Here is an 18,793-nt window from a genome sequence, read left to right on the forward strand (position 1 = left end):
GTGAGAGGAATGAAAACACAACACTTATAGTCATCTTCTTATTGATGCACCGTGTGTCCTGGTCATCCTTTCTTGCTTTCCCACAGGCTGGAATGTAGACATGGTGCATGTGAATTGCTCCAGATGAGTGCACTGGATGAGTATACCACTCTGGGAGATGAACAGGGAGACGGATAGCACCTTGGTCCTTGGGGACCCCTGTAGATGCAGCACCTTCCACCCCTGGACAGGTCACCTTTAGGAGCAAAAAAAATACACTTTTATCTTCTTTAAGCACCGTATTTTCAATCTCTCTGTTACTGAAATTCAGGTGTACCCTAAACAATACATTCTCTATCACATCTATTTCATTTTCTTCATAATAGTTACCCCTATATTTATTTCTCTCATTGATCTGTTTATTTGTTTATTGTCTATCATCTTTCACTGAAATAGATTCCACTAGGACAGAAATTTTGTGTTAACTTCTGCATCCCCAGCAGCTAGAACAGTGCCTGACACATAATAGGTGCTCAATAAATAGTTATGAATTAATGAAGGACTTTAAGGCATATCTGTTATGGGTTATGAGAGAGCCCATGAGACTTCTTGGAGTAGATTCTCAGCAGCTTTATTAACCATGGGGGTTTTACTAACCTCTGGGAGGCCACAGAGGAGCAGGATGCCATGGTAACTCTTATTTACTCATCATGCCTGTTCTGGGAGCTTTTTATATTCTAATGGTTGACCTGGTCATTATTTTATTTTTATCTGGTTTGTTCTAAGAACTACCTCTAATGTTTATGTGGTGAGATACCAGAGCAGTGGTATCCCGCTGGTCATTCATTCCACACATATTTATCGAGGGCCTGTTATCTGCCAGGTGAACTGGTTGGGGGAGGTGTGCCATTTTATTCTAACATCAGGACCAATGTCAACACGTTAAATGTACGAAAAGAGGGTTCATATTAGTTCACACTTGACAAATCACAGAGTCATACGAATGAGGAACTTAGCCAAGAATGATATTTACAACTAAATCTGTAAGGAGGGGAGTCCACAGAGGAGCAGGATGCCATGGTAACTCTTATTTACCCAACACACCTGTTCTGGGAGCTTTTTATATTCTAGGGAGAGATGCATTCTCTCTCACAATGAATCAGGGACACGATCTGACTCCTATAAGGGCCATATTCAAAAAGTGGTGAGATATTTTATATCTGGACTTTACTGACTAGTGAAAGTAAAATCTTTTAAACTGAGTTTCACCATAATTGGTAATGGGAATAATTAAGCAGGCGAGAATTTATTCAACTCTGGTTTTTTTTTTTTTTTTTTTTTTGAGATAGGGTCTCCAGGCTTGAATGTAGTGGCGTGATCATTGCACTGCTCACTGCAGCCTCGACACCTCCAAACTCAGGTGATCCTTCCATCTCAGCCTCCTGAGTAGCTGGGATTACAGGCGCACACCACCAAGCCCAGGTAATTTTTGTATTTTTTGTAGAGACGGCGTTTCACCATGTTGCCCAGGCTGGTCTCGAACTGCTGGGCTCAAGGAATCCACCTGTCTTGGCCTCCCACAGTGCTGGGATTACAGGCATGAGCCACCAACTTTGAATAAAAAATATTGCTGGGAGAAAATTAGGAAAGGCAGACTGAGGTTTTTGGTTGAGGAAAATTCCACTTGATTTTAGGGGAAATGATTCATTTTAGAGTAGGTTCTAGATTATAGTGGTCCTCAAATCTTGCTGTGTGTAAGAATGTGCTTAACTCTAGAAAGTAATAATTGCATCATAGGCATTTATTTTTTTAAACTTAAAAGCCTAGAATTTTCCTAGGAAGAAAATAGGAGACATTTCAGGGTAATTTGGTGTGGGTGTATATACTCTCAACAGAAAACCAGTGTTTGTGAATATCATGCCTCAGCACCGTCACTTTAAAAACCTGTCCAGATGTCACTATAAACTTGGAAATGCACAGTTCTGAGTTTTCATGTTTGAAATGTAAAATGTAAACTTTGGTCAATATCCAGGCTTGTTTTCTACTATTCTAATAATGAGAGAATTAATGGCAAGGCCTGTACTTTCAGGAAAGGATAGAACTACAGGTTAACAACTAGAAAGTCTTGATATCTTTAGCCCAAAGTTTACTTTTGAATGAAAGTCTTTACACTGACTGGTTGTGTTTGGTTTATTTAGTTAGCTTTATATGGTGTGTGTATGTTAGGTTGAGGGGTTGTTAACCACCTCCTTAATGGTCTGCTTTTACTCCATGTGTCTCCTGTCACAGGTAATGGAAAACAAGTAGAATAGGTGACCTCTTAATTTTGAATTTTTTCATGAGAAGTGTTTGCAGAGTTATTACCTCAGTTTATAACCTACCTGGTCATTATTTTATTTTTATCTGGTTTGTTCTAAGAACTGCCTCCAATGTTTATATATTCATGCTTAAACACACTGAGAGTGAGACACCATAAAAGTTGGTCAAATTTTTGCAGAGTCCTTATTTTATGTGTTTTATGCACCTCTACTTTAGGTAATTATAGGGATTGCATTTACAGAGTCTGGTATAATACCATGAAAACAGGCTTATTTCAAACACTAGCTATGTCAGTTGGAAAGCCAGCATCATTTGCCTTGAAAAAGCTTTTTGACAACACATAGGCATTCTTTTAAAACCACACCGAGGCATTTTGTTTCAGATACTTATGTTGTGTTTTGCGTTTCTGAAATCTAGCACCTCTGCGTATTTGAAAATAATGGGACATCTTTTATTGGATTTTGGAAAATTGTTTCCCATGGGATTCCAACCTCACTACCAAATGAGTAAAAGCTTGGTTAAGGACTCTTCCATATATTCTCCTCCTTTAGAAGAGATCAGATGGTGATGAGAAGTACAGAACGGACTATTTTAAAATTGGACTGAAGGAGAAAAAAACAAGTTTGTTAGTTTCATTCCCCATTCTAGTTATTAGAACCAAGTTAAACACCCACAATCTTAAAGAAAATCCTTGAAGGTTTTAATTAAATATTTTACACATTTAAAGTCTTGTAATGGTACTTTAAGTGTCACTGTAGCATGTGAAAGGCTTTGTATAGACAGGTAAAATTTCCATTTCTGAGTGATGAAATGTGATATCACCCCTTCAACTTTAACTTGAAGTTAAAACTGTCAGATTTTTTTTTTTTTTATAATTTAAGGAAGGTAAAGTTAGGGGACTAGAAGACTTCTAAATTGTCTTCTACAGAGCCAAGGATTTAAATGTAACTAGTTTGTTGTGATTTTACAGTTAAAATTATATTTGTGTGTATATATAACTTATCTGTAAAGTGTAATAAATACATTTGCAATTAAAAAAAAAAGAATGTGCTTAAAATGCAGATGTTTGCACTCACCCCTGGAGAACAGATTTAGTGAGTTCAGGGCTGGGGGTAGAAAACTGCTTTTAAATAAGCTTCCCAAGTGATCTCTGAGCAAGTCATTCTTGGATTACACCTTGAGAAGCACTGTCTTAGAAAAACCACCCCATTAGCTGGAAGCCTCTGATGGGACTGCAGAGACCCATGGCAGGGTTTTAGAAGCTCCCTGGCACAAGCTTTCAGAGGACAAGCAGCTGCTTTAGTTTTCCATCCCTCATTAATAGAATCTGGAGCCTACAGTAGCTGGCATGCAATTTAGAACTATTTTAAACAAAAGAAAACAAATGATGTGCAGCTGGAAACTGCTACCTTGCAACATAAATTCTGCTGCAATTTGTTTTCAATTTCTTGCAGATGTGGCACAGCAATGTGATTGCACTTTCTAAAGTCCATAGTGCTAGAGTGGCGACCTACAAGAATCTGACAAGGCCAACCTGCTCTGGGGAATATGTGACCACATAATTTTTTTCTTAAAGTTATGAACATGTAAATATTCAACATGACCAAAGCTGAGTGTTTCAGCATTTTATTTCAGTAGATCCTTTATATTTCTCTGACTGTAGGACAAAATCATCCCTGAATAGACTATGTGTTTTTATTTCTCTTCATAGGCAATATTATAGCCACCGTGTTGTATTAAAATTACACGACAGCAGCTTTACCTTTCTGACACTTGTTTGCTATATAGTGACACATGCATGTGCAGAAATCTGCAGAGAATGGCTGTGGCTGATTTGTAAAGCCTTTGGAGCCTCCAATCTTTGCCTTTGCTTTACCTGTGGAGCTGCTGAATACACCCCTGTGGACATATTTATGGAGTGTTTCCTCAAAATTCATAGACTACATCATAATTCCTTGGGTGGTGGTATGGATTGAATATTTGTGTCCCTCCAAAATTCATGCTGAAACCTAATCCCCATTGTGGTGGTAATAAAAGGTGGGTCTTAGAAGGTGATTAGGTCATGAGGGCTCTGCCCTCATGGATGGGATCAATACCCTTATAAAAGAGGATTGAGGAGGCCTGCTTGCCCCTTCTGTCATGTGAGGACACATATAAGTTGCCATCTATGAGAAATGGGCTTCACTAGACATTACATTTGCTGATAACTTGATTTTGGACTCGCCAGCCTTCAGACCTGTGAGCAATAAATTTCTATTGTTTTTCAATTGCCTAAAGTATTTTGTTACAGCAACCTGAACGAACTAAGGCAGGCTGTGTTTATTTGTAGTGCAGCTTTCTGAGCTTCAAAATGCAGACATTTTGTTTCAGGCCTAGAGTAGGGTTAAAGAATGAGCATGTTGGCTGGGCATGGTGGCTCATGTCTGTAATCCCAGCACTTTGGGAGGCCGAGGTGGGTGGATCACCTGAGGTCAGGAGTTCGAGACCAGTCTGAACATTATGGTGAAACCCTGTCCCTACTTAAAAAAAAAAAAAAATACAACAATTAGCCGGGCATGGTGGTGTGCACCTGTAGTCCCAGCTACCGGGGAGGCTGAGACAGCAGAATTGCTTGACCTGGGAAGCAGAGGTTGCAGTGAGCTGAGATTGTGCCACTGCACTCCAGCCTGGGCAACAGAGTGAGACTCTGTCTCCAAAAAAAAAAAAAAAAAAAAAAAAATTAGCTTGTTAAACAATGCCCATAGATGATTCTGAGACAAATAGTCCACGGATCCCAGTTTGAGTTGACGACTGGATTAGCACAATAGGAAAATGGAAAGATGTAGGAATTGTAGTCTCTGCAATTGACACACACAAACAGAGGCAAGAAGGCAATGACATTCATTACATGCAAGTGATCGAAGAACCCCTAATAATGGCTAACATTCACCGGATGCATGCATTAACTGATTTAATCCTTAGAGCTAGGTTCTGTTACTATCTCCATTTATAATGAAGGCATTGAGGCAGAGAGATGTTAATTATCTTGCATAGAATCACAGAGCTATTAAGTAACAGGGTTACATTTATTTAGGCAGGTCTGCCCCCAAAGTACTTATTCTAACTCTGACACCATACAGCTTCCAGCTAGTGTGCTTTGCTTTCAAAATCCAGATGTGTCAAGTATATACATTGGTGCTTGTTTAGTGTATGTGTGTATATGTATTATGATAATTCATGTGGCAAAAGCATTTTCTCAGAGTTTTCCTTTAAAAAATGCATTATTTTTTAATCCAGAGAATCAATTTATAACAATGCATTTGTATTTTAACAAGCAAACATATGCTATAGTAAATTCCAGCCAGGTACTATACTTAAGCACTGGGAATATAGAGATAAAGACCCGTGGGGAGCTTACAGTGTAATGGGAAAGAGAGAGCTGATCACAGTCCAGGACAATAGACTGGGCAGTCTACAGTTTGGTATTGGTGACTAGTATGGTGGAGAGCAGCTCAGCTTTAGCAGAAGTGCAGGGCAGTGGCTGGAGGTGTGTGGGGGGAAGGGGTCACGAAGCCCAACCACGACTGGACTCAGATTAAAATGATTTAGGGGACTTCACGGAAGAAGTAAGACCCATGGGGCCTTTGAAGAATATATTAGAGAGTCCATGAAAATCGAAGTGGCTGCCATGTGCTCTATCCTCCTTGGATGGCACTTAGATTTCCATACAGCCTTTCCACGCTTCATGCCACGTGACTTTGTAACCCTGGCCACAACTGCCTAGACCAGGGATTACTGCCAAACTCAAGGGCAACTGTTTAGAAAGAAGGTGAAAATCAATCCATTTGTTTGGGGAGTATGAGTGGAAGATGTACCTTGGAAGCAATAGCCAACTGTGTTTGAGGCAGCAAGATGTTAAGGGCACTGCTGTCCCAAGCATGATCCATGAGTCTGGGCCAAACTAGGAACTGTTTGTTACAGGTATTTGAAAAGGCAAGTACTGAAACAGAAATGAAGAGTTTAGAAATTTTTGTAGTGATTGAGCATTGTCAGAACATCCAAGCACATGGCTAATAGCTATATTAGGGATCTGTTGACGCAAAAGAATTTATCCCAAAACGTAGTGGCTTTAAACAACAATGAACTTATGATTTCACACAATCTCTGTAGTTCAGGAATTCAGGATCTGCTTAGTTGGTTGTTTCTGGCTAAGGATCTCTTCTGAGATTTCAGTCAAGTCGCTGGCTGGGACTGCAGCCATCTGAAGGGTAGGTTGAGGTGAGGGGCTGGGGCAGAGGGGATGTTCACTTTCAAGGTGACTCATTCAGATGCCAGATGGTGGGAGACCTCAGTGCTTTTCTACATAGACCCTTCCATTAAGGTGCATGAGTATTCTCACAATATGATGGCTGACTTTTCCAGAGTGAGTAATGTGAGACAGAGAGAGAGAGAGAGAGAGAGAGAGAGAGAGAGAGAGAGAGAGAGAGAGAACAAGAAAGAGGCTAGAGTGCTTTTTTTTTTTTTTTTTCCTGAGACGGAGTCTCGCTCTGTCGCCCAGGCTGGAGTGCAGTGGCGCAATCTCAGCTCACTGCAAACTCCGCCTCCCGGGTTCATGCCATTCTCCTGCCTCACTAGCCTCAGAAGTCATGCACAGTGGCTTCTGTCATATTCCATTTGTTAGAAGCAAGGAACTAAGTGCAGTCGCCACTCAAGGGGAAGGAAGTTTGTCTCCACCTTTTGAAGAGAGGAGTGTCAAAAAAATTGTGGACATATTTTAATGCCAACACAAAATATTTGTTTTGTTGAGCAAGGTCTAGACAAATTCGTGTGTTGTGGAACTTGCACAATGAGACACGTGGTGTGACTATGAAGTAGTCATGGGCATATGGACCACTTATTACTCTACAAAAGTTGAGAAAATTTAAGAAGTGGTCCCTAAAAAAACAAAAACAAATGAAAAAAAGAGAAGTGTCCTTCATCAGGGAGTGGTTTAGAAGCACTAGCCTTGAATCCTTAAGCCATAGTCTCCTACATTTTTACTCCGAAACCAAAAGAATTTTGAAAATCTACGCACCCTCCCTTACACATTTTAAAGTTAACATCAGAAAAATTGTACTATAAGTTGAAAACATATTAAAGAATATATTTCTGATATATAACAAATACTGACATTTGAAAGCAAATGATTACACTTCTCTTTTAAATGTCTTCAGTGGAATCTAAGTAACACAATTATTTGATATTCATTATCTCCAGTTAAAAACACATGAATAAGCCTTTTTAACTTTTGGTAATTGTATCTTTTTTCTCTTTAACTTAGTTTTCCACTTCACCCAGAAAATATTATCTTATTAAAAACTATTTTTTACTGAAAACCTTTTCCCCATAACCCTATCATAGTTCTCTGCCAGAAAAATATGTATATAAATTGAAATCATAGGATTACTTTTATTTTCTGTAGTTGAAAGCTCTCCATGTTAAAATTTTGGTCTGAATTCAGTTATAACAAGTATTATTAGTATACAATTGATCAAAATACTATGAACATAAATACTGATAAATAACTACTAAAGAAAAAGCAAAGTTTTATTGGAATTGCATATGTAAATGAGATGAGTAGTGCTTTTACTCTTTTTAGCTTGTGACTTCATTGGATGAAAATGACTTACTGCCAGAGTTTAGCATTAATTTTGTACCTATTTTTCATTTTTATGAATGTCTGTGCTAAGAAATCTTGTTCTTATAAACAGGTAGGTGTTAATATAAGTTTTCTTATTGTAATATCATCCAAATCTTTTGACTGCTTCTGGCTTATATAACCAAAATTGCATAAGGATACATCCCCATGTAGCTATAAAATTAAAAATTGTTTTTAATGATCTAGTAGCCGATAACTCAGGTTTAATTTTGTTGAAAGCAAAAAATTTAAAACAACCCTGTCTATCAAAGGGATGTGTTATGCAGTCAGTAGAATTATTCATTTTTTGGTTTCTGGGAAAATATTAAAAAATCATGCTTATCCTTGAAGTCTTCATCTAGTATGAAATGACTATTAATTTTATCTGGTACTCTTAAAGGCATTCCTTTTAATCCAATATGTTTAGAAAGTGTTGGAAAATAGAAATATTGTTCATTTCAATACAATTTTACCAATATAGTATTTTTTCAAATGCTTTTGACTTCTCACATGTTTTAGAAATATAGAATGAAAACATTTAGTTTATTCAATTTATGAAACACATCTTCCATTTGCCCTAATTGCCAAAGGTAGTTCCCTTTGTTAAATAAATTAACCAATTTGGACTTACTTTATGTTATAAAAAGTTATATTTCATTTTTATTACAATACAGTGATAAATTTATTGTATTTCATATTTTATAAAGTATACCAAACAATAAATTATATATTTATCATGTAGATGACAAATATCATGTCAAGATTAAACTGCTGTAGGTCACTATAGTTTCTATCTTATAAGAAAAAGATAAATCAATATTCTGTTTCACGTTAATTTATTATAAAGCAAGATAATGTTTAGCCAAATTTATTACATTTTTAAGGAAGTAATAAATATGATAGAAAGCAGGAAATTCCTTCTGTGTATGGATATGTATTGAAGCTTTTTCTCATTATATTTTTAATTCCCTCTTATTTTTTAAAATATTAAAACCATATTTATATGTTGTATTATAATTCTACTAGGTAATGAATTTGCATATCTCATCCTGTTTTATTTTTCTCTGACTCTTACTCATGGTGTCTTACTTCTATTTCTGTTTTGTGATTTTTTATTGTAAGCTCATATTGGCTGTAATTCTATCAGTGGGAAATTTTTGAGGCTGGATTTGGGCATACATTCTTCTAGGAAGGATTTTTGTTGCTTCTGCAAGGTACCTATGGGCATTAAATCTGAGTCCATTTTAAATTAGGCATTAAAGCATGGTCCATCTTAAATTGTACGTCTCTATTTTTAATTTTCAGAATTATTGCAAATAGTATAGATCTAACATGTATATGAAGGCTGGCTTGTGTCCATGTATTCACTGGGGACAAAAAAAAAAAAAAACAAAACCGGCCGGGCGCGGTGGCTCACGTCTGTAATCCCAGCACTTTGGGAAGCCGAGGCGGGCGGATCACGAGGTCAGGAGATCGAGACTATCCTTGCTAACGTTGTGAAACCCCGTCTCTACTAAAAATACAAAAAATTAGCCGGGCGCAGTGGCAGGTGCCTGTAGTCGCATCTACTCCGGAGGCTGAGGCAGGAGAATGGCGTGAATCCGGGAGGCGGAGCTTGCAGTGAGCCGAGATTGCACCACTGCACTCCGGCACAGGCGACAGAGCGAGACTCCGTCTCAAAAACAAAACAAAACAAAACTCCCCTCACCTCCAGGTCCTAGGCAATATTCCTTATTGTCTGCTTGTGCATGAAGGGGTCTTCCACCTTGTTCCACCTTTCTCTGAAGGCATATTTCTTCCTGGGTCTCACTTTTTGTATATAGTAATCTTACTTATGGCGCCTCTTCCTGCCCTGTTTGAAGGCTGTTTTTTTTTTTCAGCGCCCTCTACAGGCCAAAGACCTAATTCCTCTGGATTCATACACCTACCCAGACTGCCCATAGTTTCAATTCTCAATTGTCTATCTGGTCTGTTGTTCCTGATCTTAGTGAATTTTCCTTTCATTCTTACAGATTTGTGTAACAATTTGGAATAAACTTTAAAAAATTATTTTATAGAAAATATATATTATCTAGCACCCTTGTATGTCAGGATCCCTACTATGCTGTATTGCCAGAACCAGAAATCTTAGATGTAAATTTTGTCCATGTTTAGACAGTAGCAAGTGTTACCATGAATAGTTTGACTAGTGGATTTTATTTTGCATTTTTAGATTTTTATGTACAACTTTCCTCAATAGCCTGGTTAAAATATCCTTAGGAAGAAAATAGAAAAAAGATTCCTGGAAGTACAAAATGATGCGTTGAAAACTTTCTGATTTGGACTTAGGCCAATTATTTTAGTCCTAACTTCCTGTCTGCAGTGAATGGTCCAGGGATGGGGATGTGATTTAAGCAGGCCAAGCCGAGTCCTTCTGTGGGATTTTAGAAAGAACACTAGGAAAGAGAAAAATATTCTCCTTTTCTTGCATCTTGAACTGCAAGGATGGGCTTTTCAATCTGCAGGTGATTGCATCCTTTGAAAGCCTGTTTGCATAGCAGACAATGAAGCTGAGCAGAGAAAAACAAGATGAGAGACAGATGGAGTAGGAGACCTGAGAAGATGGCTTGAGTCCATGAATTCTGGTGTTCCCTAGGCCACATTTGCCCCCATCCTTCCCAGGTATGTGAATCAATAACAACTTCCTCCATTTATTTGTTTATAATTTTTTTTCGCTTAAGCTGTTTTGAATTGAATTTCTGTGACTTGTAATAAAAAAGCCCTAACCAGTAGAGCTCACAGTCAAAATATAGAAAGGGGCATCTGCCTGTAGTCCCAGCTACTTGGGAGGCTGAGGTGGGAGGATTGGCTGAGTTTGGGAGGTCGAGGCTGCAGTGAGCTACGATTGCACTACTGCACTCCAGCCTGAGCGACAGAGTGAGACCCTGTCTTTATAAAAATCACCAAAAAGAAAAAAAAAAAAGAGAACCAGATAGAGTGATATGCAGTGGTGGGTTAAGTGCTAACAGAGGTATTGGGAAAGGCCTGTGGAAACAACTAGCCAGACGAGAGATTGGGGCTGATGATACCATTTGATATAGTCTTGAAAGAAGACTCAGAGAGCTCCATACAGAATGCGAAGGCAGACTCTGAAGGCAGAGAAAACAATTGAGACAAAGGACTCAAAATGTAGAATGGTATGATATATAAAAGATAGCACTGGTGGAGCATGGAATATTTAGTATTTAGATTAGTTGAAAAATCAGAACTTTTGATATCAAACAATTGCTATTAGGAGAACCCAAAGTTGTCCTGAAGTATAAAGAGTTTTCTCCACTCTGCTTCACGTTCTTTAAGCGGAGTATTTTTGGCAGTAAAACAACTATGCTGAGTTGGTGCTAGGAGCTGTACAGATGCTGTTTCAAACTGTAGGTGTTCGGGGCCTCGTTTAAGAGTATCTTGGAACACAATAGATATCTAGTTAATTTCAAGAATTGTACAGGGGAAAATGAATTATCATGGAGCCACTTGGAATTGGTCCTCATCAGCCTTAGTATTTTCCTATATTCTCCTTGAAATATCAAAGCAAAACAAGATGTGGCTTTATAACTGGTTGATTGAGAAATCGCCCCTCAATGGAATATAAATACAAAATGATTTTGTTCTGGCACTGACTTCATCCATACTCCACTGAATTTCTTTTCCCATCATTTGATGATATCTTAGGCAAATTCTGTAACTTTCCAGTTATATTTTGTAAAAGCTCCAATCTCAGTCCTGTGAAAGTCTCCCCTCGCTGCCTCCTCCCAGTGCAGGCTTTGCCCATGGTTCCTAGGGCTGGCCTGGGTATGGGGCCATGCTCTGCTCACTCCCTCCTCGTGGCATTCCAGCATTGGCCCAATCTCTGTCAGGGCCACCTCCTCTGCCTTCCTCTTCTAGGCTACAATAGCTCAGCTCTTATGTGAAGAGGGAAGACTACAATAAAAGGGAAAATGTTGTTTTTCTTTTCCCCTGGATAGTGTGGATACCATCTTTTCTCTGGTGGTTTTGCTTTTTATAAGTGGAACTTGTTCCAAAGCTGGTTTTCCGTGGAGATCATGGCTGGGGCCCCCACAATCACAATTTCTTGAGAGGGGGATTCAGCTTTTGCTTGAGCTTTTAAGTCTTCCTCAGCCCACTTGGTTGTATTCCCCAAAGCCTCTTTGGTGTCTCTTTGCCTCTCTGAAGTCCTTGAGAAGAAGGGGTGAGGGAGGCTTGGTATTGGACGCTTATATTTGGTAACTCTAGAATGGGGGACTCTTGTTTTCAGTTATGAGTTCCAGTCTCCAGTTTTAGCACAACACAACAAAAAGTCCAGCTAAACATACTTTCAACTGTTTTATTTCAGAGCATATTGTCCTTGGGTTATGTGAATGGGATTCTCCAATTCAACTGGGTTGTTGTTGTCAGTTCTGGTGCCGTGTTTTAAAGGCGATATTAAAAAGGTCTAATCCCCCAACCCAATAAAATTAGAGAAACTAGTTAGGGTTGCTAGATAAACTAATGATAAGATTAGAAGCTTCATCATGGATGACACATTTAGTAAAGTATTGAATATGCTTAGCCTGGAGAATGAAAGATTCAAATGTATGATGCATTTTTAGGTAGCATAAGGATTAGAATTTGTTTCCTGGTGTTACGGTTTGGCTGTGTCCCCACCCAAATCTTATCTTTAATTATAGCTCCCATAATTCCCAGATGTCATGGGAGGGACTCGGTGGGAGGTAATTGGATCATGGGGGTGGGTTTTCCCCATGCTGTTCTCCTGATAGGGAATAACTGTCCCAATAACTGATGGTTTTATAAAAGGGCAGCTCCCCTGCACACGCTCTCTTGCTGGCCACCGTGTAAGACATGACTTTGCTCCTCACTTGCCTTCTGCCATGATTGTGAGACCTCCCCAGTCATGTGGAACTGTGAGTCAATTAAACCTCTTTCCTTTATAAATTACCCAGTGTCGGATATGTCTTCATTAGCAGTGCGAGAACAGACTAATACACCTGGGAAGTTACAGGACATTAATTTTGTTCTATGTAAGAATTTCTAAAAATCAGAGCTTTCTAAAATGAACAATCTCAGGAGGTAGTGAGCTTTCTATTATTATATTAAGCATTATCTAAATACCACTTGACAGGGATGTTGTCGAGGAGTTTCAATGATAGGATGGATTGTAAATCATGAGTTGAACTTTAAATATCTTTTTCAATCTTTTTGTTCTTTTACTCCAGAGAATAACACAGAATAGCTAACTACTTTAGGCCATACTTACAATTTGGAAGGTTGGTGGGATCAACACTGATTAAAGTTCTGATTCTCAGCTTATTATGGAGTCTCACTCTGTCGCCAGGCTGGAGTGCAGTGGCATGATCTCGGCTCGCTGCAACCTCCACCTCCTGGGTTCAAGTGATTCTCTTGCCTCAGCCTCCTGAGTAGCTGGGATTACAGGTGCTTGCCACCACATCCAGCTAATTTTTGTATTTTTAGTAGAGACGAGGTTTCACCATGTTGGCCAGGATGGTCTCGATCTCTTGACCTCGTGATCTGCCTGCCTCAGACTCCCAAAGTGCTGGGGTTACAGGTGTGACCCACCATGCCCAGCCGATTCTCAGCTTTTTATCTTTTCAGTTAAGAAAAAACAATATTTGCTGTTTTTCTTATTTGGTAAAAAGCCTTACAATATTTTGATTAGCTAGAATGTATATGTATTTATTTTTAATAGGCAATACTTTTTTTTCAGGAAGTACGCTCACTTAGGTCTACTTTTTAGAGCATCATTTTACTAACATCAAGGCATTCTGGAAACTAGTTCATAGTCAAAAGTTTTTATTGGACAAAGCCTCAAAACCAAGGTAATTTGATGGTTTCAGGAAGAACACTGAGAATTATTTTTCTTCCAATATATACTATTGGTATTTCAATACTAATTCTTATGAAGCAGAGTATGATTAATATTCCATTTGGATTTTTTGAACCTGAAAAGTTATTTCAAAGGTTAATTGGAATAACCAACTAGAGACAATAAACAAACTTTTTGAAAATGGAGAGTTTATAGCCCTATTTATTTTATTAAAATTCTCTAATAATTAAAACAGTATAAGGCCAGTATAAAGTAAATTGAAAGATGGACAGGAAAGAATAGCTAGCTCCCTTTTGTCTGTTATGCAAAAGAGCTGAATATATTCTTAAGGAAACATCACAAATCATAAAGGCGAAGAGGACTTATTTGTAAATGCTACTTGCATACACCTACTACATTGCTAAAAATACAAGAAAGTAGAAAAAAAAGATTCAGATCTGCATTTCATACCATGTCTCAAAATACAGCCTATGTGAATTCATTATTACTTTAAAAACTGTAACAAATCTAGACTAGAATATTTTAAATCTGAGGATTAGGACAGCTTTTAAATTAAAAAGTCATAGAAGAGATAACATAGGAAAAGAAAAATGTTTTCATTATGTAGAAATATAAAACATAAACAGCTTATGCAATTAAGAGGAAAAACTGGTAAAAATAATTGGCAATATGTGTGACAAATAAGTGCTTAATTTCTTTACCAAATAGAGGTCATTTAAATTCATAAGAAAAATTGCTAAAACTAACTAGACAGAAGGCATAAACACACAATTTGCAAAAGAGAAAAATCAAATGGCAAATAAACATGGAAAAATGTTCAGCCTCATTAAGTGATAAGAATTAAAATGAGGTATAATTTTACCTTCCAAATTATCAAAGATTTAATCATTTTGAAGACTAATGATACCGATGAGAGAGAAAGCAGAGGAAAGCAGTTTGGTAATATTTGTCAGGAGCTTTAAAATGTCAGTATCCGTTGGCCCTGTAATTTGATTTCCAGAAATTATCCTGAGAAAATAATACAAAGCAAGCAAATGTTTTGCATTTTTTGCAGAATATTGGCAATCATAAAAAAATTACAAACGACTAAGAAATTAGGCAATAGTTGAATAAATTATAGCATCTCTACATCAAGGAATATTATGCCAATACGATTCTTTCTGTGAGCAGTTTTTAATAATATGGGAAAATGCTTATATTGTAAGGCTAAGCAAAAGGATAATATTATGTAAGTATTTGCAATATGCTTTACAAAAAAGACTAGAGGGAGAGTCATCAAAATATTATCAAAAAATTGTCGTCAGTGCCAGAGACAATATCGCTCTACTTTGGACCATGTTGGATAAACCCAGCCAAATCCTTATTCTCTGGCTCTGTTTTCTCTCGACACCATGTGGCTTGCCACCCTTCTGTTAACTCATAATTTCCTCCATCAGATGATAATAAATTTAATTTGATCGCCTCTTTCTTTCCATTAGTGATATCAGCAGGTAACCTTGATTATGTGTGAGACATTTTGGCTTCTTAATCAGTTTTGAGACTCTCTTTAGATTTTTTTAAAAAAACACATTTGCAAACTTTATTTGGATGAAGTTCTTCAGCAGATTACATTTTATTTTTAAGTTGGTTCTACTAGCTTTAGTTTTACAGACTATCACCCTCTCGATTGTTCCCCAAATTCTGGGGTTGTATTTATTTGGAGAAAATATATTGCTTTGTGCTGACTACACCACCTGTTATCTCTTGTTCCCCCTACTCACCCACACAAGCTTGATTTTTCCTTGTATTGGCTATCATGTTGAATTTGGCTATTTGGAGGGCTACAAGTGTGGGAGGAAATTTTCAAGCAATATGACCTAGTTTAGAAATCTGACTTTCCAATCAGAAAGGCAGGTGGGAAGATACCCTTGCTGTTTGCTCATGACATGCCATGGAATACATCACTTATCTTTTCCAAGACATTTCCTCTCCTAAGTGACATAGGTAGGGATCATGGATACATAAGACCTGCCTCTATTTCCCTGATCCTAATAGGAAAGAGGTTAGTTTGGCATGTCTTTTTCTTCGGAAACTCTTGCTGATTTCTGGCACTGTGTCCTTTCTGAGTGCTCATAAACTTCTGTTTATGGATCCTGTTTACTAACATTTACCAGGTTAGTTACTAAGATGCAATAGTACTTTTTCCTTGTTTTTGAAAGTCAGGACATCTGCTCATCTTCGCTTTGTTCTTCATGTCTTACTCTTCAGGATTTCTCAGGGTTATCAAAATCACACCTGAGTGTTATTTTAGCCTACTGAAATGGAATTAACCTGGGTGTAGAAAACTGATTCCATTTAGCATGATTAGGTGCTTCCTTTCAAATTTACCTTGCATCTAGGTCTTCAGTTCCCTACTAATTATGTTTGTTCGCTCTGTCAGATGGAAGATCATTCTTGATGGAAAAGATAAAGCCAAAGTGAATGAAGTAATTGTCTTCTTACGTAATCTGTTTACATTAAAATATATTCTCTAGTAGATTGAAGACCTATTATGTTCTTCTTAATCTAAACATAGTTTGACGTTTTCTAGAACTCTTAGCTACTTAATGCTTCTCAGAGATTTGTGACAACTTTTTTCTGTGACCTTAGACAATTTACTTAACCTTGATTTTCTTATCTTTAAGAAGGAAATAATAATAGTGTTTTACATAATCAAGTGATTATGAAGAATGAATGAGTCAATATTTGTGAAAGGCTTTGAGAGTAAGCACCACCTATTTGTTAAATGATTATTCTTAAAAAAATAATATCTGTGTTCCTTAGAGAACCCTTGTCTCCATTTTGTATATACCATCTCTTATGTTCAGTCATTATAATTATCATAATGGAATGATCAGAATTTATTTCTTCATTAGTGAATGCTATAGAGTAGCCTCAGGTGTTTATGAAGCACATAAAATGTATTTAATCGTTTGGTGCATTCCTCAGTAAACTCTTTAAATTGTTTAATCACTTTAATTGTAGCTCACTAAATCCTCAATGGTGTTTATGAATTATAACTTTTGAAAATGTTTTTATAATCTTCATTTGGTCTGGCTTTTGAATACATTGTCTTAAAATTTTTTTTTTAAATAAGTGATACCATTCTCATTCTTAGAGAAAACAATAATGTTTAGTATAAGGCTTTTAAAAATCTTCCCCACTGATATATATTTGAATTGTAACAGAATGATTTCACTTTTATTCCCTAGGTTGTATATGATTTATAGCCCTTATTTACAAAGTGATTAGTAAGTTTATGTGCTAGAAAGTTCTGATTTTTTCTGATTAAGTAATATCAATCAATTTCAACTTTTATGTGAAGCATATTTCTTGTCTGACTTTCAGAAACTGTTTATGTGTTCCAAACTTTCATTCTTCTATGCTAGTTTTCCAACCCTGATTAAATAACTTTATTTAATAACCAGCTTTGGTCCCTTTATTATCAACTTAGAAAAATAAGCTAAAATGTATATATTTAGCATTTATATATTTATAATGTAATACCTACATGTCTAAATACAGAAATACACATTTTGTCTCTTTTTCCTTTACAGGATATGTAAAACTCAATGCTTGTTCTATAGAAGAATGCATAAAATTTTTAGTGATTTAGAAAATGTATGTTTTCTTGAAGCCCTTCAGGTAGAATTTGGCCAAATAAAGAATAGAGTATCACATAAACTACTTAGGAAATGAATCATTCGGCTCTATAAAAGTAAGGGAGATATGTCTAATTCTAGTCAGGATGATGACATGGGGCAAAATGTGCCTCTTTCTGCTGTCATTTCAAACCCATCCGAGTGAGCCAGAAAGGGAAGTGTTAACCGCACTTAATACTTAATGCTGACTGCATGCTCATGGTCTCTATGGAGAATTCCTGCAAAAGCGATCCAGGAGCACATTTAAAGTCCTCCTTTTCTTGCTCTATTCTACCTCTCTAGTCTTATGTTCTGAGACCTCCCTGCAGGGGCCTGACATTTTGGCTAAATTATTTCCTACTTTCTAAATCTATTCCCATGCCTGCTGCTATCCATAACTTAATCAACAATGAAGCTTTACTAACTAGCACACTAATGTCAAAATTTTTTTTTAATTGGTGAAACTGGTGACTTGTTAATTAGCATAACAAATGATGGAAAAGGGGGCTTACTGGTGAAATTAAAAGTATTCAATATATGTAGATTGGCTAAAATACTTTAAAGACACTGTCTCTACCCTTGCATGAATAGAGTTTCAGAATCTGGCAAGGTTTGTCCTGTCCCCTTTGAGATGGTGCCAAAGGCTTGCTCCATAATTGTTTCTGTATCCAGCCATTGGTTTCAGATAGGGTTTCTCAACCTCAGCACTATTGACATTTTGGGCAAGATAATCGTTTGTTGCAAGGGTGTTGTCCTGTGCCTTGTAGGATGTTTAACAGCATTTCTGGCCTCTACCCACTATACACCAGTAGCATACTGCCTTTTTCTCCCCATGACAATGAAAAATGTTTCCAGACATTGCCAAATATCCCCTGGGAGCAAAGTCACCCCAGTTGAAAACCACTTGTTTAAGAGGATTTCTGCTTGAATAATCCTGACTAGAAGAAATAGAATCCTGCCTAGGGTGTGTGGCCATCTTCCTGCAGGAATGTGTCACACAGGGATGGAGAACCTAAAGGATAGCTGTCACTTCCCAAGTTGCAGAGTAGGTCATCTGATTAGTTTGTGTCTGCTATATTTATGGATTCTTATGTAGACCATCTCTGTCTGGCATACTAGATCTGAGCCTTGATTTAATTATAACCTACTAGTGAGGTTGATGGTAGCTAGCCAACCCTCTCCACCACAGACTTCTTTGGTGGCTTCTGTGATTTACCATAAAAAAAAAAAAAACTAAGAGTGTGGACCAAATTGGCTTTGGCTGATTCACCAAAGACTCAATATCCACACAAGAAGTAGACAGGC

General features: G+C 37.3%; 1 annotated feature.

The window, feature by feature from the left end:
* Positions 9,675-9,914: an enhancer, noted in NCBI's record as "active region_15584". NCBI's record gives its function as "activates an Ori minimal core promoter by ATAC-STARR-seq in GM12878 lymphoblastoid cells {active_cell/tissue: GM12878}" and the evidence as "EXISTENCE:reporter gene assay evidence [ECO:0000049][PMID:35858748]".

Source organism: Homo sapiens, chromosome 2 (genome assembly GCF_000001405.40).
Source record: "Homo sapiens chromosome 2, GRCh38.p14 Primary Assembly".
In the NCBI taxonomy this organism is placed as follows: Eukaryota; Metazoa; Chordata; class Mammalia; order Primates; family Hominidae; genus Homo; species Homo sapiens.